The sequence below is a fragment of the Homo sapiens genome, chromosome 15 (assembly GCF_000001405.40).
Source record: "Homo sapiens chromosome 15, GRCh38.p14 Primary Assembly".
Lineage (NCBI taxonomy): Eukaryota > Metazoa > Chordata > Mammalia > Primates > Hominidae > Homo > Homo sapiens.
Window position 1 is genome coordinate 38492242 of NC_000015.10, and position 27017 is coordinate 38519258.

The window sequence follows — 27017 nt, forward strand, 5'->3', positions numbered from 1 at the left end:
GAGAGTACCATTCATCCAGAAAATCTGTTGTTCTTTTTTCGTATGTTTCTCTTAATATTATGTTCTTTGTACCAAGCACCAAATCAAGAGTTCCACATACGTTATCTAACTTGTTTCTTCAGATGTTTCTCTAATTCAGTTTCTGGGGGTCTGACAGGGAAGGTAGAGCATTGAGGACAATGCAGGGAATCCTGAAGCCCTCGTGGACAGTTTTTCAGTCTGTAGAATGTAGAATTATATAAGGAATTCTACTAGCTGGATATTGGTTTTGTGTTTGCACTGACAGGTCTCCAAAAACACAGTGCAAACCTTGATGTTTTTGGGAAAAGCCAGAAAGGCATTCCTCCTCCTGTAATAAAGTGAATAGTAGTGTTGATATTAACGTATCCTTGCTTCCCTGTCTCTAAAATGGCTTAGTTATCTATAATTAAGAAACTACTATGCCATGGGACAGTAGTTTCTTACCATTTGTAGGTTCTTACCAATTATAGGTAACCTCTTGAGCCAGCCCTGTGAGTTGTGTACTGTACTCGAAACAAAAAGAAGTATAGTAATGATTGAACCTTCAGAATTGAGTATCTTGACAGTTGGCTGTTGGCTCTTTTTCCTTCTGCTGTTCCCGTCTCCTACTCCTCCCCACCCGCTTTTTTTTTTTTTGAGTTGGAGTCTCACTCAGTCGCCCAGGCTGGAGTGCAGTGGTGCCATTTCGGCTCACTGCAAGCTCCGCCTCCCAGGTTCATGCCATCCTCCTGCCTCAGCCTCCCAAGTAGCTGGGACTACAGGCGCCCATTACCACGCCTGGCTAATTTTTTATATTTTTAGTAGAGATGGGGTTTCACCGTGTTAGCCAGGATGGTCTTGATCTCGTGACCTCGTGATCCGCCCACCTTGGCCTCCCAAAGTGCTAGGATAACAGGCGTGAGCCACCACGCCGGGCCTTTTTTTTTTTTTTTTTTTTTTAAGATGGAGTCTGTTGCCTAGGCTAGAGTGCCGTGGCTTGGTCTCAGCTCACTGCAACCTCCACCTCCCGGGTTCAAGTGATTCTCCTGCCTCAGCCTCCTGAGTAGCTGGGATTACAGGCACCTGCCATCATGCCCAGCTAATTTTTGTATTTTTAGTAGAGACGGGGTTTCACCACGTTGGCCAGGCTGCTCTCGAACTCCTGACCTCAAGTGATCCACCCACCTCTGCCTCCCAAAGTGCTGGGGGCATGAGCCACCACGCCCAGCCCTATTTTCCTGTTTTTAATGTCATTATTCCCTTCTCTCAAACCTTGGCACCATGTTTCCAAACTCTTGGTCTCCTTTCCTTGGTAAACTTTATTTTGTCTTTTCCATTGTCTCTGTTAGGTACCTGATAATTAGGACATTGTGAGCCTAACATTGAAAAGCAGCTCCTCTTGTCATGATTGTTAACATTTTATAGATTATATTGCTCTATATTATATTCCACTGTGTGTTTGCCTGCTACTGTTGCTTTCACTATTCTAATATGTGTAAAAGATCAGCATATTCCCTGATGTGTTAGAAAAGATTCTCTTCGTTTATATTTAGGAGGGAGGCGTTTTCTATGGTGAGCCACAATACACTCACCTTTCTCTTGTTGTTGTTGCTATAGGACTAAGATCACTAACTTCTCTTAGGAAGATGCTTAGGTAACCATGATGATCCTAAACCATAACCCTGATGAACATGTTAAAGAGACCTCTAGGGAAGGAGGATTTAGGCAAGTTCATTTTAGTTCCATCTAGAAAAGGAGTGGTATCAGCACAGTAAAGCTAACCAGTAGATACTGTGGTTTTTCTCTGTGAGCCTACTAAACAGGGCTTTGGGCACTGGCACCAGCACTCTGAAATGCCACCACCTGTGTGGTGATAGGGAGCCCTGTATAGCCTGTGCTACTTGTGTAATGTGAACCAAGGCCCCCAGTGGGTTGTGAGAAAGCTGGAATCAATCATCCTTTCTTCCTTCCCTCCCTCTCTTCCTCCCTGTTTCTCCCTCCCTGTTTCTCCCCTCCTCCTTTTTTGTTTTAGACTGCTTGTAATCAGCCTGATCTGAATCTTCAGTCCACATGCTCTTTCCTGGTTTGGCCCCACTTCTCTAAGATAGTCTGAAAAAAAGGAAAATGAAAAGGAAGGTACCTGTTCCAGTTCTTGGTAGGTAGGCAGTCTGAGGTGACGGAGCTCCTCCTTTGATTTTATGAGGGAGTCTTTATTCTCCCACTTGACAAAAGCCCGCTTTCTGACCAAGACTGGGCTAGGACATGGAGAGGTGGGACTGGGAAGCACATATAGAGTATCCTGGGCTGTCTTCCTTGGGGAAGACAGCACAAAGGGACCTGAAGGGCCCTCACTGCCAATCCAAGGCTGTGATTCAGTCTGGGTGGCCTTGTGGGCAACAGCCCTCTTCAGCCGAAGAGAAATCTTCTGTGAGGACACTCCCATCAGCATGATGGTCCGATCCTTACTCTCCTCACCATGTTCCACAGCCTCCCCATTAGGGAATGTAAAAGGTCCTTCCTCAGGTGCTGTAGGAAGATACAGGACATGCTAGTACTCTAGCTCAGGAAAGCAGAGACTCAAGACTGAGACATTAGTTTCAATGAGACCTTTCTTATTGTTACTGGAGTTCCATATGTTCAAAGAGGACCCATTTTCAGGCACCCAGTTTAGGGGGTGAGGGCTAAATCCAGGGGCTTTGGCCAAGACATGGCCACTGGTGTCAAGCTACATCCACCCTGAGAAAGAGCATCTTCTGTTTGCACAAAGGTTGCTTAGAGGGTTTCTGTTTTTGGAGGTAAGTTGAAGCCCCTGCCTCAGTGCCACAGAGTTTCATAAAATAAAGAGAACAAGAACAATATCTAGACAGAAATGCTCCATAAATACTTTTTTGGACCCTGGAATTTGGGAGCTCTCCACATTCATGTCTCAGTCCTGATACAGACACCCTCTAGCAGGTAAGTACTCTCTGGGAACCCGTTTGTACAGTGGGCACAGCTTAACCATGAGAAAGAAGTTTTAGCTTTGTGGAAATGTACCTTAAAATGTATTGCCCCTGTTTGATACTGAGAGGAAAAAGGTAAGTTACTCTGGTTTTCTTTAACTAAGACCCACTACCCAGGATCCAGCCTAGTAATGTTAGCCATAAGGAGTAATTTCCTGGAAAAGTAAAGTAAGAGCAGATGTATTTGAGGTGGGCGATAGATAGGCTTTAAGATAAACTGAAGATCATCTCAGTTTACTTTTTGGAAAGACTCAGCAGTGATTAAAACATTGGATAGTCTGACTTTGAAGACATTGGATTAGTATAGTCAAGATGGCTTTAAAAAACAACAAAAAAGTTTTCTAATTAGTATTTGACCAGAATCAACCAGTTGTAAAACTAGAAATCTTACAAAGATCTTAGTTTAATTCTTGCCAAAGAGAACATAATTTAAATTAACATTTAATATTTATCCAATAAAGCTCAAAATTGTAATTACATAGTTATTTAAGTGCTCAAATATTTAAATTGTTATGGTCACCCTAAAATAATTACATTTTTTTTTTGGAGGAGTATTATGGGTGATTATTTTTTATATCTCCATTTTCCAACTTTTCTGTAATACAGTTATACATTCTTTTTACCAACCTAGATTGTCAAATTATGAATATAATCCCCTCCATTATTTAGGTTGAATTCCTAGACATACAGGGAGCTTGGGACAGAAATTCAGGCACTATACACTTTGAGGAGCAAAAGGAAGAAAGCAGTAAGAACAAAAAGCAACAGAAAGCCCTTAAAATTGCAGGAAGAGTCCTGAGAGATGACAGTGTTAACAGAAATTAGGAGAGGTACAAGTTTCAAGAAAGTGAAAGTTGATGAGATTGAGAAAGATAGTAATGGGCTAAAAGAAATCACTGGAAATTTTGATTTGATAAGCAGAAACCATCCCCGATAATAATGAGATAGAAATAACTAAGAATGGATGATATCCAATAGTCATTTTTGCCATTATAAATAGACCTTGACTTTTAGCAACTTTATAATAATATAGTAATTTTCATTTTGTTGCCCATGATACATGTATGTTTATCCTACCTATTGGTCTACTTCCTGACAAGTACTTATCTTACCACTGTGGGGCAGGGTTTGGAAAAGGGGAGAGATGGCCTGGAGAGGAGAAATCTCTAACAACTGCCCCTTCAGGGATTCCTTTTTGAGGCCTCAGATTCAGGCTGTTCTCTGCTGTCTTTTCCACTTGAAAATCTGCATTTTATGTGACAGAATTGTGGTGCCCTAAGGTTATGTGTAACTCTGAAAATACAGAGTGCATGAATGAAATACAGGGTACAGGCCTATTTTTCACAATGGTGTTTGTGATTTCTATTAAAAGTTGAACATCAAATTCTTAGTTGATTAGCATATTCTTTCTTAGAAAAGACCCTAAGAGGATTTTTTCCCCCTAAGAACAAAACACCCCAAAAGTTTGAAGTCAGCCTGTGTTTAGATAGATAGTAAGGGGAAAGATTTAGGAAGACAGAAAATTTTTACTTGGCTGATGTGATAAAAAGGAATGTGCATTTCTTACATGGAAGTGAAGCACTTAAGCTTTGATCTAATTGATCAATAAATGCATGTGGATATTTACCACTGAACATTAGAAGTGCTTTAAATGCAGAATGTATACTATATGGACTTTTTCTCTAGGCATCTGTTGTAACGATAGTGGCCTTACCACTTTAGGGAGCTTATTTCAAAAGAGTAATGATATTAACATATGGTACATACGTGTTAAGCCCGATTTTAAGTGCTTTATATAAATAAACTCATTTCTTATTTCCCTTTTTGGTTCTACTTAGAAGTCACACAGCTTCTTATATTAAACTGGCACTAACCTAATAAGCACTGGATTTTTGCTGAAGACCTATATGTTCTTTAGTTAGTCAAGGTGATCAGTGTTTTGACATGCTGGCTAACCAGCCAGCCCAGAGATCAGGGCCTAGTATAGCACTATGAAGCCTTGTGCCCCAACCGTCCCCAACAAGCCCTTCATGTTACCCTTTTTTAAATAGCTCCTCATTTTATCATACAGACAGGCACCTGTCATTTAAGACTCTCTAGACTGTCTCATTTTTCTACTTCATCTCTTACCTAAATCGCCTTAACACCTTTTTTTTTTTCCCACTATCCCAATAGTACTAAAGCTGTTCTGCCCTTGGCCTTTTGCTCCTACTGTACATCCTATCTGGAATGTGCTCTGTCCTCCTCCCATAACTTAATTCTACCCTTCCTTCAAGACTTAGCTGAAATTCCACCTTCTCCATAAAGTCCCAACAGCCCCAGTACAGCGATCTCTCTGCTATGTCCTCCTGTCATTTGCTGTCACTGCAACCTATTTGGCTCTTAGCATATACTCTTGCATTGTTTCTAAACTGCTCTATATTTGTATATTATCTTCCCCCTAACTAGAACTACTCCATGAAGACAGAGACAGTCTATTCTGCTTCTTTGCACTTTAGATCTGGGGCATCTCAAACATACTCAAAGTCATTTCCTTATTGTACTGTTGTTTGCATTTTAATGTAAGTGAATTTGCTAGTTTATTTCTTGAATGTTGAATGTTTTGTCTCAGTCCTAGGATTTTCCTTGTATGATTTGGAATTTTAATCTGCAAGCTCCACTTGAGTGGGAGTTTGCCCCCCGCCCTTCCTTTCTACATTTAGCCTTCTGTTTCTAGAATTTTGACAATTACCTGCTACCTGGCCCCTCAGGGTTCCTCAGACTAGGACCTGGTCTTAAATTAATGGCTTGGGGTTCCTCTCCTGGAGAAAAATTGGGGCTATCATAGACAGTCACTCAGCTAGTAGAACTCTGTCTGTGGCTAAGTCTGCTTCCTGCTGCTAAGTGACAGTCACAGTTTTTTAAGCATTGGATTTTTCCTTCTCAATTTTAAGCAGTAAGTCTGGTTCTGGTCACCTTTCACGCATAGGTGGTCTCTGTTACTATGCAGAAATCAAATTCGCAGCTGCCTCTACCTGCTTCTAGACATGCAGCCAAGCAGACCAGTAGCTTTAGCATCTACTCCTTGCAGTATGTTTCTAGTACATGTGTAACCTTGAGATATCTGTTTTTGAATGCACTATGCCTTTTAATGTGATTTATATATTATATATGTTAATTTACATTATATATACACACACATATACATATGCATGTACATACATATTTTCCCTAGTCACTGTTTTGGGTTTGGAGCTGGGGATAGGGTGGGATAGTTAACTGTTAACTTGAGGCACTATCTTGGCCAGAAGTCAGTATCTGTGCTTGGTGTAGGTGCTCAATAAGTACCTGCTGATTTTTATGCCTAACTAGGACTCTGCTATTCTCACACCTTAAGTCTAAGACATAGGCATGGAGCTAAAATCCAAAACTGTGGGAGGGGTCAGCCCTGGCCTAGCTGTTGAGGTTACATTTAAACTCAAACACAGAGTCATGAGGTAATCTTTCCGTCTCTAAAACTTTTCCCTTCCTACTTCACTTTCCAAGATGAATGTTCCCAGTGCCTACTTACCATGGAGCAGATCTTTGGCTCCCAATGAGCAAAGGTTGGACACTGGCCCCACAGAAGTGTTGTTCTCTGTGGGAGCTACTGGGTTCTTGGCTCGCTTCTTACACTCAAACACAACCAGATCTTTGCATTGTTTGTGACAGTTCATCCCGCAGTCTGTGGACAAGACATCCTGGGTCAAGAAGTCTTTCACTTTTCTCTCTTCCCCAGTGTGTCTCACAACCAAATTCATGCAGTGCTTTCTTGTCACACATGTCTGTTCTATCTTCTGGAGCTAAGACACTTAACATTCCTAATGAAGCTAGCATTCTTCTCACTTGGTGAAGCCCAGAGCTCACACTCTTGATGTAGCCCTTATCAGTGAATCTCAGCATCAGAAGCAGTATCCTGATATCTTGGAGGGAAGAGATGGTGTCCTGGTATCCCATACATTCTGCCTACTCTAGGGAGACCCTCCGGAAACACTCAGCTGTTAGGTCTTATTTTCTTTCTTGCAGTAAAAGGTTTCCTCTCTTTCACTCCTGAATTCTCCTAGTCACAAGGAAGGACAGTTATGTCCTGAGTGATAAAGGAAAGCTGACAAGGGCCTTTAGTAATCATTTATCTTCTGTTGCAGAAGAGATTCTATCTTTTTCACTGGGGACCCACCCTTCCATGACTATATGAGAGCACCATCTCCTACCTGCTATCCCTGTTCTAGGCCAGCCACGACAGAAAGAGGATTTTATACAGAGAAAATGCCTATCTGTGCAACCAGGCATTTCTCTCTTCGGTGTGGCGGTCATTCACCGGGGGTGTCCGAGGGAAACCACTTTGGGGATGAGACTCTGAACTATGCTGAGAAGTTGTGGACTAAATGGACAACTACTATGGGTAAAAAATGTTTTAGAGGTGGGACTCTAAGACCAGCTGATATGGTTTAGCTCTGTGTCCCCATCCAAACCTCACCTTGTAGTGCCCATAATCCCCATGTGTCATGGGAGGGACCCAATGGGAGGTAAATGAATCCTGGGGGCGGTTACCCTCATGTTGTTCTCATGATAGTGAGTGACTGCTCATGAGATCTGTTGGCTTCATAAGGGCTTTTCCCCCTTTTGCTCAGCACTTCTCCTTCCTGCCAGCATGTGAAGAAGGATGTGTTTGCTTCCCCTTCTGCCATGATTGTGAGTTTCCTTAGGCCTCACCAGCCCTGTGGAACTGTGAGTCAATTAAACCTCTTGCCTTTATAAATTACCCAGTCTCAGGCAGTTCTCTATAGCAGCGTGAGAATGGACTGATACACCAGGAATATGTCAACAATATTGAGTCTTACCTTTACATCGATATCCTTGTTTGATCACTCCCCAGAGCTATGAAACAAGAGACAGAATGCACCACATGTCATTCATCCATCTGGTGTGAGGCTACAAGGTGACATTCCTTTATTTTCCTTCATTTTACTCTCTAGCTCAAGTGGGAAGGAAACCTCATTTATCTCTCATGTCTTGTCCCTTCTGACCTTAAATCCATGAGAAGAGTTTATGCTGATCAAAGTTTCTCAAGAAGCAGGTTTTTTTTGTTTTGTTTTTTTTGAGACAGTCTTGCCCAGTTGCCCAGGCTGGAGTGCAGTGGTGCGATCTCGGCTCACTGCAACCTCCACCTCCTGGGTTCAAGCAATTCTCCTGTCTCAGTTTCCCAAGTAGCTGGGACTACCAGGCATGTTCCACCACACCTGGCTAAATTTTTTTGTATTTTTAGTAGAGACGGGTTTTCACCATGTTAGGTGGGCTGGTCTCGAACTCGGGGCCTCAAGTGATCTGCCTGCCTTGGCCTCCCAAAGTGCTGGGATTACAGGCATGAGCCACCACACCTGGCTCTCACTAGCAGCCTTATGACCCAGACATTCTCGAGAAATGGATGAATCATCGGGCAAACAGGTTCCTCAGGACTCCAAACTGAGAAGGATATAGAGCCTTGCATCAGGACCCGAGTTTAGGGGGAAACGATTGGTCAGGAGTGGAACGGAAGAGGGGCATAGCCAAGGTTATCTCCTAAAGACAGAAGGTATCTCATATGTCTTTGTTATAACACTTGAAACAGCACATGAATATTATACTTTAAAAGTATATCCTAATTCAGCATTTCTGGTACCATTTATCTAAGGCCTCATTGCAATAGAAAAGAAAAAACAGGAAGAAGCGAGAGATGATGAGTGCAGGTAAAAACCACACGCTTGAGCTCTAGGTTATTCTAGGTGTCTGTCTGGGCTCCAAGCTGGGATGGGTTCATAAGGATTGTGAGGTCTGTGCCTGTCTTAAAGTATCCCACACTCTTCCCCAAATTCAGCCCTGGAGCACCCTAAGAACAACTTACAAATCCAGCACAGTTGTCACAAAAAGTGGGCTTCAGGTAGGTGGTCTCTTGGAAGTTGTGAGGAAAGCCCAGGCCCAGCTTGGAATAGATTGAGCTGGCTCTCATGAAGTAGGCTGTGATCTCATCCCTGCTGATGAGGCCTTCCCTGCCGGCAGATGACCAAGGCAAGGATGTGAGTATAAGGGGCATGGAGGCAGGTAGCAAGGGGGGGCTTCTAGCCTTAGAAACTCACCTTTCTTTTTATCCTCAGTGGTAATATGGTATGTGCTACCTCATGATTACTTCCATGGGCCCTACTCTTAACAAGGATACAAGATGACATGTGGTAAGTAGGTAAGGCAGCATTACTCATTTCCACAGAGGTGTTCTTTGGCCAAACTAGGTTTCCCTAACTAACTTGACCACTATCTATAAGACTTGAAAAAGAAACAATGTAACATGTACATGTGTATAGGGAGGGAAATGTCTTATGCTACAGTTTCTGACTTTAGACAGTACCTAACTGGAACCCACTAACCATATGATTAGTTTCCTATAGAGAACCAAGATAGAATTTATTTAACCTTGAGAAAAGTAAAAATGCAAAGTATGAATAAGTATTAGTTGTTTCCCAAAATCTGTAATGACAAAGCAAGAAGGAAGACTAAACTTTTTCTTATTTATAGTTGACTATTTATAAAGTGGCAGATTTATGGAATGTTCAATTCAGTTTTTGTTTTTTTTTTTTTTGAGACAGGTTTTTGCTCTTGTGGCCCAGGCTGGAGTGCAGTGGCATGATCTCGGCTCACTGCAACCTCCGCCTCCTGGGTTCAAACAACTCTCCTGCCTCAGCCTCCCGAGTAGCTGGGATTACAGGTGCCCACCACCACACCTGGCTAATTTTTGTATTTTTAGTAGAGACAGGGTTTCACCATGTTGGCCAGGTTGGTCTCGAACTCCTGAGCTCAGGTGATCTGCCCACCTCGGCCTCCCAAAGTGTTGGGATTACAGGCGTGAGCCACTGTGCCCAGGCCCAGAATATTTTTAAAAGAATGCATATTTCATGGTCTGTTCTTTAAGTGATCACAGCAGCAACATATCTGAGTTTTCAAATTCTTCTAGTGACATACCTATAAACCTATTCTCACCAATGGGCTCATAACCACATATTCCTAAGTACAAACCCTCACCTGTCTTTGTCCATCACACAGAAGGAAAATGGAAAACTCGCAGCAATCTTTTCAAATTCTTCCTGAGAAATGTATCCATCCTGGTCGTGATCATAGTTCTTGAAGACAGACTGTGAAAAAGGAGTTTTTTTGGTGATTACTAAAGAGAAACCGGTCTTCTCTCCCTTTAGTCAAATGACAAAGAGCTGGGGCAGTTGGATAAAAGCCTTTTAACAACCTGAACGAGAGGAACAGGGAAACCTGCTCCTTTAGCTGTGGCAAAGATGTGGCAGGTCACATCTCAGGCCTTTGCTGGTAGCAGCATGTGGGGGGTGGCCATGTACTTTGAATCATTAGCACGTCAATTATACTATCACGCTGGCTACTCCTAGTTCACTGCGCAGAGGGATGTTCTCCTTTCACTCTACCCTTTTTTTCATCACTCAGCTCCAGTTGTACCTTCTTTGAGAAGCTTCTACAAACAGCCCAGTTGGAAGTGCTCTGTCCCCACTGTTAATCCTCTTGTTTCTCACCGTTACGCTCTTAGTTTTCCATTGTTACATGTGAGTTGTCCACGAGGATACATGCATAAGTATGAGAATATATACCCCTTCCTCAGCAATTAGCACAGAGAATTGAATTAAGCAGTACAAAGGTTTTCAGTTTTAGGTTTACCTGATTACCCCTTACTATACTCAAATGCATCCCAATACTTCTGTACTCCTAAATCAACTGACAACCTTTAAGCATATGCTCTTTTGCTAGGTCTTGAAGAGGAGGCACAACTGCCTTCATATGAGTCCAGTGTGTGTTGTCAAAATGTAACTTTTGAATTGTTCTAAAGCCACAGTAAGAGAAGTAAGTGGTTCAAGTTTCGTGCCTTTACATTTCCACCATTGTGCTTTCCTCTCCCTTTACCCCACATACAAAACTGAGCCAGGCAATGCCTAGTTTTTGTGTGCTGAACACAGCTGTACTTACATCCACCATCCTCTGGACGTGTTTGCTAATGGTTTTTGGATCAGGTTTGGGAGACACTCCAGAAGCCCAGTCCACTACTACTGGTGGCTTTGAAGGTGTTAGTGGCTAAAATGAAATATTTAGAGAAATCCTCATGACTACAATGCAATATTATAACCTATAGCTCTTTCTTTTCCCACTACCTGACGGTTACATTTATGGACAATCTTCAATTATGTTCAGTGGCAAGGAGCAGAGAACCCACAGGCAATTGAAATCTCTACTAATAATTTTGGCTAACAAGGCATTGTGCTTACGGTTTCCAGAGTGCTCTTCACATACATTATCTGCAGCTACAGATAATTTGAAATTCTCAATCTGCCTGAGTTGCAATTCCCTCTCCATTAAACCCTTTGTCAGAGCTATCAACAAAGAGTAAAGTGGATCATTTATGATTCCTCTCTATTCTCCAGTCACATTTTGCAGTAGAAATGTGAATAAGGAAAAGCTTAGCTAAAAGGCAGGAAGGCACAAGAAAAATCATCGGAAGCCTGGACAAGCTCTTTTCTAAATACAGTCATGCATCACTTAATGACTGGGATATGTTCTGAGAAATGTGTCATGAGGTGATTTTGTCATTGTATGAGCACCACAGTGTGTACTTACACAAACCTAGATGGTATAGCCTGCTACACACCTAGGCTATTTGGTATAGCCTACTGCTCCTAGGCTACATACCTATACAGCAGGTTATTATACTCAGTACTGTAGGCAATTGTAATGATGGTATTTGTGTATCTTAACATATCTAAACATAGAAAAGGTAAAAATATGGTATAGAAATTTTTTTTTAATGTTACACCTGTATAGGGCACTTAACCATGAATAGAGCTTTCAAGATTAGAAATTACTGTGGCAAGTCGTGAGTGGTGAGTGAATGTGGAGGCCTAACATTACTGTATACTCCTATATACTTTATAAATACTGTACACTTAGACTACACTAAGTTTCTTAAATTTTTTCTTCAATGATAAATTACCTTATTTTACTGTAAAAGCTTTTAATTTTTTTAACTTTTACTCTTTTGTTATGACACTTAGCTTAAAGCACACATTGTATAGCTTATAGCTGTACCAGTTATTTCCTTTATAGCCATATTCTATAAACTTTTTTCTATTTTAAAAATGTTTAATTTTTTAAATCTTTGTTATAAACTAAGGTACAATTACACTCATTGGCCTATGTCTATATAGAGTCAAGATCATCAATATCACTGTCTTCCACTCCACATCTTATCCTATTGGAAGGTCTTTAGGGGCAATAACATGCATGGAGCTGTCACCTTCTGGAGGACTTGCCTGAGGCTGTTTTACAGTTAATTTTTCTAAGTAGAAGGAATGCACTCTAAAATAATGATAAAAAGTATTGTATAGTAAGTGCATAAACCGGTAATACTTACTATCAAGTATTATGTACTGTACGTAAGTGTATAACCTAGACTTTTTACAGCTCAGTAGGTTTGTTTACACCAGTATAATCACAGACATAGTGAGTAATGTGTTGTGCTACAATGTTACAATTGTTCTGTCACTAGGCAGTAGTAATTTTTCTGCTCCATTATAATCTTAAGGGACCACTGTGGTATATGAGGTCTATCACTGACCAAAATGTCATTATGTGGTGCATGACTGTATTTGAAACTCAGCCCAAATTAAAATCTCTCTGAAAAAACAGAATGTACCCTTTCCATTGAAATGCCTCTAACCTGAAAATGGAATCTACCAAATATTTTCAGTGGAATCTTTCATTACAATAGAAAGCTAGAACTTGATCTTTCTGTGTGGAGGAGTGCAATTTAGCCACCCCAATAGATGAGCTGGATTTCTTAAGTGTGGGCAACTCTCTTCCCTTGAGTATCACTTGTTTTGGGGTTTGGAAACGTCCCAGGAGACTGAAGTGATTTTACTTGCCTGTGGGAGGGTAGGGCAGATAACCTGTGAAGTTCCTACTGCAGGCAGTGCCAGGACTGTGTACTATTTTGAGGACTTCTCAGCATAGGAGGTCAAAAGACTCAGCAGACTGTTCTTTTCACCCAGAACATTACAGGAAAATGGGGCTTTTCTATCTACCAACCTGGAAATCTTCAGAAATTTAGCTTCTGATTAGTACGCATATTACTCTCATTATCATCAATGAATCATAGAAAAGAAATTTATGTGGGGACTCTTCTTAATGCGGGGGGGATGTCACTCTGGTGCACAATAGTATCTTCCTTCTCTACTTTGTAAACCACTGACTGATTCCACCACACCTGGCATTCTGATGATATAGTTATTTACTGTTCACTAGTTATTCACTGGTCACACATTAGGCTTATCCCTTCAACTATATCACAGCTTTTTAATGGACAGGAACTATTCCTCAGACATATGTTGAAAAGCTTTCTCTGTTCCTAGCATAAGGTTGAGCACTAAGAAAAACAGTACATGTATTAAACTGAACTGAAAGTCTGTTCCTGAGGATGAATGAACTCGAGGAGAAGCTTGTAAAGCACCTGTTACATGTGGAGTCTTAATATGAAAAACTCACTGGAGCTCTGTGGTTCCTTGGTTCCCGGGCATAGGAAAGCTCATAGATTTCATCCTCAGTGTAGTAAAGATCCAGGGATAACTGCAGATCAAAGCAGAACAGGGTTCATTGCTAAGATGCTGTTTGCCTCTCCCACAGCTGATGGTTCTTTCTTGGATTTTCCTTGCCAGTAGTTTACTCTTTTAGGTTCTAAACAGTTTGTTTTTAAAAGTCACAAAACAGGTATAACACCTACTATTGCAATAGGGCAAGCATTAATTCTCATTGAAATGTTTTTAATTTTGGACATAGGATGCCCTCTTTTTAACTATGATTTAAATCTAAGCCTCTATATAGAGCTTAGGCCAAAGGCCTTGTCTGGACAGATGACTAATACATCACTTGTTCTCTCTCAAAGCAGACAGATGATCTGAAAGGATGGTGTGTATAGTCTGAGACTATTAAATTTGAGTCCAGCAATAAAATCCAGTTTAAATGGTAAGACATATTAATTGCTATTAAGAGTTAATGAGTCTGGGTGCATGGTGGCTCATGCCTGTATTCCCAGCATTTTGGGAGGCCAGGGCAGGTTGATTGCTTGAGCTCAGGAGTTTGAGACCAGCCTGGGCAACATAGCAAAACCCTGTCTCTACAAAAAATACAAAAGTTAACCGGGCGTGGTGGCGTGTGCCCGTGGTCCCAGCTACTCAGGAGGCTGAGGTGGGAGGATGGCTTGGACCTGGAAGATAGAGGTTGCAGTGAGCTGAGATTGCACTACTGCACTCCAGTCTAGGTCATAGAGCCAGACCTTGTCTCCAAAAAAAAAAAAAAAAAAAAAAATAGTGAGTTTCATGTATCTTAGAACTATAAAATTTTAGGAGAGAAGTCCTTAGGAATAATATTATTCTTAACCTTGAGTCTATGGATAGGCTTCAAGGATTTCAGAACTTGAAATTACATGCATATTTAAAAATAAATGGCTTATGTACATTTTTCTGGGAAGAAGGTTCACAGCTTTCATCACAAGATTTATAATCCAAAGAATGTTAAGATTCACTCCATGTTTTTACAAATGATGTCTGAGACACAGACCTGCCAAGGTCACCTGGCTAATAAGTGAAAGGGCTAGGATCACACACCAGCTGATGTGAAGCCCAGGGTTCTATCAAAATGCTGCTGTGAGGCAGAAAGAGGTTATGATCATTATTCTACTCTCCAAAAACAGCAGGTTAAAAACTGTGTAACTTTAGAACTGGAAGAGAAGTTCGAAGTCATCCCAGAGACTAATTCGTTTGAGGAGAGGAATCTTGGACGGTTATATGTCCATAGTCACACAGCTGGTAAACTACGGAATTGCAGGTCTGGAAGGGAGTTCATCATCTGATCTCACCCCATATGCAAAATGCAAATCCTGGTCTCCCACACCATTGACAAGTGTTCATCTTCACTTGAATATCTCCAAGAGCAAAGATCTAAGCCAGGAACCAAATAATAACCCTGGGTGTTTTTTGTTTGTTTTTTAAATTACTGCCTGCCCTTTTTATGAGAGCACATTCATTCTCTCCATCTGTTACCAAGACTTGTATCCTGATTTGCCATCAGCTCCTCCCAGAGAGCTTAGGACTGCTTTTGTAGAGGTAGTGAAACAGTCCTAGAAGTCTGAAGGGCACAGTCTCTAGAGTCCCACCACCTGGGTCTGAATCAAGGCTCTGCTACTTAATAATGTGTGGTCTCCTGGCAAGGTATATCTTTGTGCTTTAGTATCCCTAGCTATATGTTGGAGATAGTAATAGGATCTGCTTCATAGAGCCTTTATGAGGACTAACAGCTAATATTTGGTAAGGGGTATAGAATGGCACCTGGCACACAGAAAGTGCTTAGTAATTGTCCTCCAGTGTGAGCCTCACCGTCAGCAAGTGTACCAAGTCCTTGTTAGCCTCCAAGGGTGGGGCCACCTCTTGCAGCTGGACCAATTCACTGATATGATTGTATAGGGCCAGTAGCTTATGGACGTTCACTTTCCCGTCCTCCAGATAGTCAGGCATGGCTTCATACAGGGAGATGAGGTCCTTGAGATGCACACCCAGAATGGGGATCTTGAAGTCGGTGCACTCTCCATAGGCTCGCCGGTAATTGTCGTAGTTTCTGGAGGAGGACAGCAGCTCAGTCATCTCACCGAGAACCTACAAAGCAGAACAGACCAATCACAGGTACCCGCTAGGCAGTGTGCATTGTCTGTAATGAGGACCTTGCATGTTTGCATCCTGTGCCATGATCTCACCCCATCCAGAATTTGTTGAGCAGGGGGTAATTCATGTAAAAGGTACAGATTATGACTCCCCAGTTAAAACCTCAGCTATGTCAAATATCACAGAATATATTTATAAACACAAGATATGCTTGAATCTGTTATATAACTTAAACATTATAAATCGGGGTTTTATCATTTTTATGTTAAAATTTCCTTCTTTTCAAAAACAAGGACCTGATACAAAAATTAAAAAGGTACAAGAATATATAGTGAACACTATCCCTCTAACTCCTGTCCCCAAGCCATGTGATTCCCTTCCTTGGTGTCTTCTGAATGCTTCCAGAGACACTGCATTGATTAACAGTTGAAATGTGATGTCAGGAAATGCTGACTATGTTGCTGGCATGGGGAAGAGCATGTATTTTAAGAGTGGAGCTTCAGTAGTCTATTGTGTGTTATTCTCTATGAGGTGCTTGATGGGCCTTTCAAGATTCTCAGAATGGGCCTATGACTAGAAAGCAAGTGACATTCCATTCACAGACTAAAACCTTGAACTAAAAAGACTGAATAGACTAGATCAATTCTGAGCAAAGGACAGGAGAGAGGACATTAGAGGTTACACCCTGCTTCAAACCTGGAAGTGGGAACGGCTGCTCACCAGCACAGAAAGGGAGCAGCCAGATCTAGTTTTCTTTTCAATCACTTGTCATTCAAGTCAGCAAGCAGTTCACAGAATCCATTCCCCATGAGTGATAACCAGCTTTCTCAGAAGCAAAGACATGAAGTGACTGTCTGCCAATCATGTTATCATACAACATAAGGAGTCCTCTCTTATCCTTAGGGGGATACAGTCCAAGACGCCTAATTGATGCCTGAAACTGTGCATAGTAACAAACCCGATTGCTGTCAAGTGGAACACATTTCTGTTCATGTTTCCCACCCACAAATGTAATGCCATTCCCATCATGCACTGTGGCCATAACTTTTTGCAGTATGAAGTACAAAAGAGAAACTAGAATGAACTTCTTTTCTTTTTCACAATTTCATAGATGAAATTCCTTCTTACTTAGATCTTAGCAACCTCAGCATATGATTTTTTTCCTTCCTTATTAAGTAAAGAACTTAGAGGAAACACTTTAGGGCTGCTCTTTGGCATATCCAAATTGCCAACATCATTACTCTTGCACTGTGAGGCCATTATTAAACAAAGTGAGAGTTACTTGAACACAAGCACTGCAATACCATGACAGTCAATCTGATGACCAAGACGGCTACTTAGTGACTGATATGAAGGAGTCCCAGAAAGAATGGAATGGGATGGCTTAAGATTTCATCATGCTACTCAGCACAGCATGCATTTTAAAACTTATGAATTGGCCAGGCGTGGTGGTTCATGCCTGTAATCCCAGCACTTTGGGAGACCGAGGTGGACGGATCACCTGAGGTCCAAAGTTCAAGACCAGCCTGGCTAACATGGTGAAACCCCGTCTCTACTAAAAATACAAAATTAACCCGGCGTGGTGGCACACGCCTGTAGTCCCAGCTACTTGGGAGCCTGAGGCAGGAGGATTACTTGAACCTGGGAGGCGGAGATTCCAGTGAGCTGAGACTGAGCCACTGCACTCCAGCCTGGGTGACAGAGTGAGACTGTCTCAATCAATAAATAAATAATAAAATTTATGAATTATTTCTGGGATTTTCCATTAAATTTTTTTTGGACTGCAGTTGACCTCAGATAACTGAAACTACAGGAGACAAAACCTCAGATAAGGGGGACTACTGTAACCCTTTTAGACACTGTGCCCAAACTTAATAAAATTGTGGCCTACGAAGTACCATTTCTCCACAATGAAGAACTTGGAGTTCTTGGAGTCAGACCCCTTCAAATCACTGGGAGATGGCAAGAGAGCTTCTTCTTCATAAACCTCTACCAATGGTGCAGGTGAGCCCTAGGCATGGAAGGGGCTCACAAGACAAGAGTGTAACAGCAAAAATGATAAAGATATTTTTATTCCCCTCCGAAGGTGAAATCAACAACTTGGGGACTTTTGCTTCAACCCTGGACTTACTAATTCACTATGCAGACCACCCTGAGGGTCAAGTAGCTACCGACAGGAAGCACTGCTGTGGGGGGACCCCAAGCTGAAGAGGAGCAAGCTCTCTCTTATAAGCTAAATGACATGAAGGCTTCTTAATCTCTGTGACTATTTCTCTCTGTCACCTCTGAGATGTGGGCAATCTTTTCAACTGTTCCACCTGGTTTCAGCAGAACCGTTAAGGAATGAAGAGGTGACTAAAGATGATGCCCTTTTGATCAGACCACTGGGAAGTGGGGGGCCTCCCCAGAGGCCCAGCATTGTGATAACAGAGATAATAAAAGACTCCCCAAAAGGGAGCTGAACACCTGGGAAAAACAGATGGGGTAATGAGCTTAGGTATCTCTCCCTAAAAAGAGAGTTCCTCTCCATGCTAGTTTGGAAGGATTGGGGCTTGAGTATAGTAAGGTCCTCTTACATGAAAGTGCTCAAAGAGCAGTCATTATCTAACCCATGCCATACATTTATATCCTCGGTATATTACAGTGGTTTATATTTATAACAACAGCTCCAGCTGGACTCAGTGGCTCATGCCTGTAATTCCAATACTTTAGGAGGCCGAGATGGGAGGATCGCTTGAGGCCAAGAGTTGGAGACCAGTCTGGACAACATAGGGAGACCCTTATCTCTACAAAAATTTTAAAAAATAGCTGGGCATAATGGTGTGCACCCATGGTCCTAGCTACTTGGTAGGCTGAGGTGGGAGGATTGCTTGAGCCCAGGAGTTTGAGACTGCAGTGAGCTATGATCGTGCCAGCCTGTGCTCCAGCCTTGATGACAGAGGAAGACCCTGTTTCTATAAAAAAGAGAAACAAGCAAAACAGCCCTATGTCATAAAAGATAAAAGTATATTCTGTAAAATCTAATAATGTAGGAAAATGTACAGGACATTTAAGAAAAATATTCATTAATAAAACATTATGTATTACAAAATGGTATCTGAAGAACTCATATCCAATTATCTGGTAAAATTCAACTATCCGGAATGTCATTCTTCAAGGGTTCTGGATAGCTAAGTTTTTAATATATCACTATATAACTACACTCAATGTGCAAACTGACCTATGGTCAACCGAACCACAATTCCTTTTGAGAACACATTTTAGAGCAAGGAGCTGGAGCGAGGGAATCAGTGTCAAAGATGGTAACTGAATATTCCATGGCCTATGAACATGGGAAGAGGCACACATTGTTTCAACTGGTCCAGCAGGAATGTTTGCAGTGACACTGTCTGAGGCCAGACAAAATCACAGTTACTCTAAAAAATGTGACTTCTCCATCCTATGGATTTCCTTAAGGTTTGCCTCCCTGCCACTTAGCCTGGTTGACAAGGGATGGTGTGGTTGGAAATGCTCTCTGGGCTGCCCACCAAGGAGAAAATGTTGGCACACATCTTGAGAATGCTGCTAAGGGCCCCAGAGAAGACAGTAGCACTGACCTTATTGATTTCATGTGGGACATGCGAACTTGTCTCCTTGAGCCTCGAGATTGAGCTGTGACACAGCCCACCTATCACAGCCATCAGTGTATTGAAGTTCTGTAGTTGGTGGAGCTTCTGTGACACAGAAGACAGATGACAGCAGAGTCACTGTACATGTCAGTTATATGGGGAGCTTAGAGGCTGCCTCTTGTCTCTGTGCCGTGAGTCTCCCTTACGCTGGTTAAAGACTAGTTACGAGGCATTGCAATTTCCTGTCCATGTCTCCCCTTCTGCTTTATTCAGACTGGTGGATTCCACATCTGGGAGGCATTACATCTCTCTCCTTTTGTTGTTGCTGATCTGTGGACCACCTTCTAGATCAGTGCTTTCTTAGAATCACCTCAAGTATTTGTTTAACACAATGGTTTCTGGACCTAACCCAGACATTCTGATTGCCTGGATCTGGGGTTAGGCTTGGAGATCTGTACTTTTAATATACCTTTAGTTAATATCAGAGCAGGTGATCCAAAGTCAGAGCTGTTGACTTTGAGAAACACTGGTCTAGACCATCCAGAGTTGGAGAAAGATATTATTAAGTGTAATCTTTTATTTATTCCAAATTTACCAGACTTTTATTTTTGAGGGTAAGGACTTTGTCTTATTTTCCCATGCAATGCCAGTGCCTATATAGGACAGTAACTGGGACAGAGAAGCTAGAATCTCTGGGGAACTTCAAATATGGGTTCATAGTACTTGTTTTCCTCTTATAAAATGCCCCTCAAACATTAAATGCAGCCATTCAGCACTGCATGGGCTTAAAGACCTAAGACAATCCAGGATGGTCCAGCTCCAGTAAATCTTAGAATTGCCCTTTCCTTTGCCATGTGGGCCAGACTCGGGAAAATAATGTAGGCTGGTAAGCATCTTTTGAAAAATGTTAAAGGTCTAAACAGATCTAAAACTGGATCCTGACCCCTGATATGGCCTGTATGGCCCCCTCCCCTCCACACTGTCCTTGTATGGAAGAAGAGACAAGTCACCATATCTAGATCTGGTTGAAGGCACACAAACCTCTCCACCCCCTCGCCATGGTTCAGGAGGGAAAAAACAGCTCTAATTAATAGACTAAGCTGGAGGAAAAGGGGATAGAAAGTTTACCTTATAGCCCAAGCCAAATGTCTTAAACCAGTTATTCACCTGAGCCACCTGGATGAACTTGATGAAGACTTCTGCTCGGAGCTGCGGCGTGGGGCGGCTGAGAACCATCAGTTGTACCCACTGGGAGATGCCGTTGCACAGAGCAATAGATCGCTCCATGGTGGGGTTTTCCTTCACACAGCTATTTACAAGGTAATTCTGATAATCAGAGAACTGCAGGAAAAGAAACAACAACAACAAAAAAAACCTATCAGTACTGTACTCTGGTATTCCAGAAGATTTAAGGGACAAGTCCAGTCTGCTCAGTTGATGGCTGGGAACTGCCATGGAACAGAGGAGCTCCTGGTGCTCTTCTGCATCTTGGCCACTTGCCAACAAGCATGATGGGAGGGAAATCTTCCTTATTCTACCCACAGCATGATTTCTCTACATCGAAAGTTATTAGGAATAAGTGGATGTGTAGACACATTAGTTAATCCAAATGCTGTATTTCAGTAGATATTGTTACTGACTATTCTAAATTCTAAAGAATACAGTACAGAATAAAGATCAGTATTGCTGCTAAGGTTAAGGGAATAAAAGGTAATTCCCCTGACAAAAACAAATCTCTCTCTCCCCAGCTGTTTTCTTACCTTAAAAATGTGATCATAAAATCTGCCCTATCTAGGACATAGAATTGTTATGAAGATCAAAGAAGATAATGTGTGAAAGCTTTAACTTTTTAAAGTGTTACATATATGTAAGGTTGCGCTAATGGAGTAGTTATGAACCTTATGCTAATACAAGCCTGTTTGTATTTCCTTCTACTCACCAACTGGAGCAGAGGCAAATGGAGTACTTAAAATTTGGTTAGCTATATGTTTGCTGATCATGGTTTCCCAAGTTGACAATAGCATTGACTACAGTTGGCAATGAAACAACATGTGTAAAACTGGAAATGTCCCTGAAGATCTAGTCTAAGTGATGTTTGTAGCTATTGTGTCCCTGTCACAAAGAATCCCTCTGCTCAAATCACAGTCTGTTTCTCTTCAACTTTCCTATGGAAGTCTTTGGTGCTTTTCCCCAATTATTTCCAACTCTTCCCTTCTCAACTCTTCCCTTTGAAAGAAGGTGTGACCATATGACATGGTTCAGCCAGCAGAATGTTGAGTGGAAGCGATGTAACTTTGGAGGCAAAGATGTAAGAGCCAGTGAGTGGTCTGCCATGTTGCCTTCCTACTGCTGCAGAGATCTTGGAAATTCCTGGCAAGATGAAGCCTCCATCATCTGGGTTCCTGGGGAACTCTGATCAGCCTCTGCTGACCCATGTTAGACATGCAGTGTGAGTGAAAAATAAACTTTTGCTTAATTAAGCCACTGAGATTGTACAGGAGGTGGGTGGGTGGGGGGTTATTACTACAGTACACCTTAGTTCTGCCTAAGTAGTAAATATATAGATGAGAAGTCACAACCCAAATAAAATAGCTGCAAATTAACTGAGCCCCATTTTACTGTGCTATATGGCTGCTGATGGGTGGAAAACCTATGAGTAGGACCAAAATCGCTCCTTAAGAGAGATATATAAAGCAAACATCTTACTGGTTCTAAAAGAAAGTAGCCACAACTCATTGCATATATTTTGAATATATTCATTCAATTAATATATTCCAGTGAATACATTTAATACCCCCCTCCCACTATAAATATAACTTTAAATCCACTTGTTTTTTTAAAACAATTATCCCAGTAACATCCTCACTACCCCTAAAGTTTTGTAATAAACAGAAGATATCAAATGCCTTTCAATTCACAGCACAGATAAATTTCCCTCCAACCTCATGTTGGAGAGAAAACTTGTGTTTGGTAAAACTGTTTAGCACTGTACAGGAAAAACAAAAAAACCCTGAGATAGTCTTCTATGAAGGGACCAAGCCACTCAAAAGAAATGAAGGTTGAAACTGATGTTTTCACTTGCAAATAGAACACTGTTCAACCCCTGGGGACACTGGCTGGGATTCCTCGTTCTGCACTGATTTTTCACTTCTGCCTCCACTGATGTGAGCATTGGCATCAAGCAGACATCCTGCAGGCCTGACCAAGCAGCCTGCCAGTTTGACCCCTGCAGAGCTCAGATTTCCTGTGTGATAAATGGCTTTTTTCAGTGGCTCAGCTCTGACTGCTGTCCTTCCCTGTGACGGGGAGGCACTGCCAAATGGGAACTCCTGAGGCAGAGCTTTTCAATTTGGGTCTGGGGTACTGAGGGGTGCAGAGAATGGAGAGTTAATGCTTGGAGAAGTTATTTCCAAATGGAAGCTGGGAGCTTCCTGGCTGAGTGACCAAACAGCTGCGTGAAAACAGAAGGGCTGTCAATATTATGAATGAAAATGTAAAATAACCTTTGTAACCTGATTTGCAGGTCTCCTTCCAGACACAACTGAGCTCAACAAATTGGTGCTGAGTGACTGAGAGAGGCATGTAGTCCTAGCCCCAGCTTTGACTGTAATCAGCTGTGTCGACCTTGTTCAAGTCAGCCCTCTGGGCCTCCATCCCCTCACCAGGAGAATACTGGTCATTTTAATAAATGGACCCAGCAACTAGGTGGTCACTATTTTTAGCACGGAGGTGAAGACTGTATCTGTTGGTAGGGGTAGGGGCTAAGTGGAATAAGGGTTTCATTTCTCAGGAAAGCACATTAGCCAGTGAGGGTCTGTTGGCATCTGACATGTTGACAAGTTCTCTTGCATAGAACTAATATTCTTTGGGATCACATATGGATTGCAGTGAGGAAAGGATGAACCTGTACTCTTTCTGTACCTGATGATCAACTGAAATCTCTCTCCCTTTGACTCTGCTTAGTTGCCCCAGTTGAAAGGTTTTGGGTCAGCACAGCTTATCTCTAGAATCACAGTGACTTCTGGGCCAGGACCACTTCAAGGATTTAGGTATGTTCTGGGCTAGGGCAGTAGAATCTATTTTGGGATTTCCCAGAGCCATTCAAAGCTTACCCCAGAATGAATTCAAACTCTGAGAGGACATATCCTCTCCCCGCCCCCGCACCCCCCCCCCTTTTTTTTTTTGAGGAAGATTTTAAAAAGAGTTGTTGAAGCCTAATGATTATCAGGGGTATGAGGATTATCAGGGGTATGAGGGTAGAATGAGAGAGACAGAGAGAGAGAGAGAGAGAGAGAGTGTGTGTGTGTGTGTGTGATGTGTGCCCACAGTATGGTAACTTGAGTGAGTGGTGGGATGGTATGGGGCGGGGGCATGGAAGAAGAGAGATGGGAGAAGCACAGGAGTCACAATCAAAGGAATTCAGATGGTACTGATTTTTTCAGACTCTATGATGTCTGGCAGGAAAGCCTGCCACGACTTGAGGGGGCCTCTAAGGTTATGAAGCGGATGGGCTGTTGAATTATCATCTTATTTTCAGAAATATCCCAGGGAAGATTTTTCTCCTGCCCCTTGCATACATACCGATATCCTCCGGAAAGACTTGAACTCAAGGTAGGTGAGGTGCTCGGATAGCTCTTCTGGTTCCAGATGGTCAAAGAGCAGGGAGACTTTCCGTTTCTTGCTGGTATTTGATTTTATCCTTTGAGTAAGTTTCCTGGACCAGTCACGGGCATTGCTTTTGTGGGTAAATGTGAAAGGGAGAAGACAGGGAAAAGGAATAAATCGCTTTTTGCAAGTAAATCCATTAACATTTCTCACAAGAATATACAAAACACCATTAGCTAACTTTCCTTGTGAATGCCAAAACAGTGCATTCACAGAGTTTCTCCAAATCAGTTTTTTTCCATGGCAGCCTCCAGGAGGTCTTGCTGGTTTTCAGTGAGCCTTTTAAGTGTGCAGTTGGGTACAGGATAAATGAGTTTACTTTAAGGCAGTGGGAAGGAAGGAGTCTCAGGTATCGGTCAGTTTCCTTGCCTTTGGTCCTGGCTCCTTTGTGTATCATCTGGTATGTCTGCTCCCTCCATTCTGCTTGTGTGTTCCTTCATTCTTGTGTGAATGATAGGGACTCTCTATCTGGTTGGAAATCCCAAGGCAGTGAAACAGTTTTCATGCCAGAAAGAGAGCTCAAAGAACCACAGCAAGATGTCATAAAGGGAGGGAATCACGCGTAGAAACATATGGTCACTCTTGGCAGAGTTGTGTCATTTTCCTCAAATGTCCTCAGCTACTGAAATGACCAAGGAAGCCTAGCTGACCCTAGAGTGCGCCCTGCCCCCATTATTTTCTTGTAATCAACCCATGCATTTCTTATTCAGTTTCCTTCACTAAACAAGCAAAGGGAAGCGGCCCCATTTTGAAAGACAGCAGGTTGCCTGTCTTCCAAACTGGTATTCCTGGGAACCTTGTCTCTTGATAAAAGGGTTCTGTGGTCAATGAGCTTGGGAAGTGCTATAAATTCTGTAGCCTCTTTGGCCAGTGAGCATATTACACACTCTGAAAAGCACTGCAAAAGGAAAGTTTAACTCATTATTCCTCAGTTATATCTGGCCAAGTAATATCCCACAGACTAATAATTCCTACAGAATATAATGTGGAAAATTTTGGTCAAGAAAAGTCAGCTAGGAAATACTGGGACAAGGAGAGCTGGGGTTGAGAATTGCCCTGGGCTCTAATTTCATCTTTAAAATGAAGAAACTATTACTTTGAATAATCTCTTATCTTTCAAGTTGTGTAATTTTAAGCAGAGAAGTACAGAGAATCCAAACTGATAAACAGACTTATTTGGGGCTCTGGAATGTAATCTTGAAATCATTTCTACGTGGCTACAGTGCATCATGGACAGGACCTCAGAGGCTAGCTGCTGCTCTGTCACTAGCTTAACTAGCTGGACCCTAGATGAGTCACATTCTTGCTGAGCCTCAATTTCCCAGTCAGAAAAATCAGGATGTTGGATGAAATGATCTCTAGAATATATATCAGTTCTAGAATTCTATTTCTTAGGGATTTGTACTATTTCAAAATAAAGCAGCCACACTGTGAAAACCCTGGCATACAAAGCATACATTCCCCTCCCCCTAATTAGGAAAGGCACTCATTTTCCCAGAATGGGTCAGTCTTATAAATAAGAATTCCAAGGAATAATTTAAAACATTCCTGGAATCCCATCCAGCTCTGGAAGTCTAAGTGTCTTTCATAGACATCCATATATGTTATAAGCCTTCTCCTGAATACATTTTTTAGTCCTGTCCCATTTACAAGTTCAGGTGTGCCTCCTGGCATTAAGCGTGGGTTCAGTCATTTGCACTTTCAGTTTTTCATTATCTGGATTAATTTTAGTCAATATCTTGCTACCTGATTTCTTTTTGACTGGGACTTACTTTTTCTGCTCCTGGATATGTCACCTACTGCTTTATCACCATGAGGCCTCTCTGCTTTTCTGTTAAATGCCAAGCCTTCACTTTGGTGAGGCAGTTTGAACCTGTGTATTTGAGGGGCTTCTCAGAGTGGAGAAAGAGAGCAGCAGTCACCGCTGGGGGTCAGAAGCCCAACAAGCAACTGGGATTATATTACAGGAGGGAGGTGGTTTCGAAAGATGAGTCAAGACCTTGACACTCACATTTGAGTTGTGTCAATCAGGCGGCAATGTAACTCCTCACCCTTAGCTTTCACCAGTTCCTGAAACTCCTCCATAGTGTCTGTCAAGCTGGCGTCCATTTTAAACATGACCCAGAATTCTGTTATCCAATACCTACAAGGAGGGGGTTAAAAAACACAATCCAAAACTGATACCAAGGACTCACAATTTGTTGGGTTCCAAAAGGAATTTACTGCCACAAAGAGAACTCAGAAAAAGACAAAGTCTGATTCGTCTATTAGTATATTGAAGGAGCTGGGGTGGGAGCAGGGAAGGAAGAAAACCCATCCACTGAAAATCTTCTGTCCCTCCACACAAATGCTGTGGTAGGATAAGGCATAGCATAATCAAAGGAGCCATGACAAAGATTCAGGCACAATCATGTGGGTTGGAGATAATTATAAGGGAGAGAACTATAGATAAACCAAATGTCCAAAATGAGACAATCTATTCATAGATTATGCTTTATCATATTCGAATATTACATGGCTATTAAAAAGAATGTTTACAAAAAGTCTTTAATGACTAGAGAAGATTCTCATGCTATAAAGCTAAGTGAAAACTATAAGATATAAAACCGTATATATATTTTCATCTCAAAAAAATTGACATGAAAACAAGACAAAGGAAATACACCAAAATAGGTAACTGGATATGAGTGATCATTATTATAGTTATATTCTTTTCTACATTTTTAAAAATGTTCTATAATGAGCTATATTACTTGTATAATTAAGAACAAAAATAAAGAAAATAACAGACCTTTAATTATTTCTGTATTCCCTCCTTCATGTCATTTGATACCAAAGACTGAAAAAAGGTTGGTATAAAATAATTAAGCTCAAGTACACCAGAGAAAATTCACTGTTATGAAGGACTACCCTTTTCCATCTGTCCAAAGGTGTTCTATAGAGGTCAGGAAAGGCAGGGAAAGTCCCTTGCTTCACCT

The 27017-nt window shown here is 41.8% G+C and overlaps 1 protein-coding gene and 1 long non-coding RNA gene across 11 annotated transcripts in view; one reads left to right on the plus strand and one right to left on the minus strand.

Moving 5' to 3' along the window:
• Positions 1-27017, minus strand: part of RASGRP1 (RAS guanyl releasing protein 1) — a 76712-nt gene that overhangs the window by 4139 nt on the left and 45556 nt on the right. For 2 of the 9 annotated variants that reach the window (NM_005739.4, XM_047432073.1), the window contains 12 exons: positions 26051-26182; positions 23956-24109; positions 20542-20715; positions 19363-19479; positions 15485-15760; positions 13599-13679; positions 11031-11135; positions 10071-10180; positions 8902-9046; positions 7862-7898; positions 6553-6705; positions 2141-2526 (listed from right to left, as the gene is read on the minus strand). In NM_005739.4, the coding sequence (NP_005730.2) occupies positions 2141-2526; positions 6553-6705; positions 7862-7898; positions 8902-9046; positions 10071-10180; positions 11031-11135; positions 13599-13679; positions 15485-15760; positions 19363-19479; positions 20542-20715; positions 23956-24109; positions 26051-26182 (1870 nt within the window). Of the gene's footprint in view, positions 1-2140; positions 2527-6552; positions 6706-7861; positions 7899-8901; positions 9047-10070; positions 10181-11030; positions 11136-13598; positions 13680-15484; positions 15761-19362; positions 19480-20541; positions 20716-23955; positions 24110-26050; positions 26183-27017 lie in introns of those variants that run through there. The other 7 variants (NM_001128602.2, XM_047432074.1, XM_047432075.1 and 4 more) reach the window with 6 other exon arrangements.
• LOC105370774 (uncharacterized) lies at positions 11135-26836 on the plus strand. Of its 2 annotated transcripts, none has more exons than XR_001751485.3 (2): positions 11135-14075; positions 21613-26836. It is a non-coding gene; the product is annotated as an uncharacterized LOC105370774 (long non-coding RNA). The 2 variants fall into 2 exon arrangements; XR_007064583.1 differs by lacking the exon at positions 21613-26836 and adding an exon at positions 17853-18857.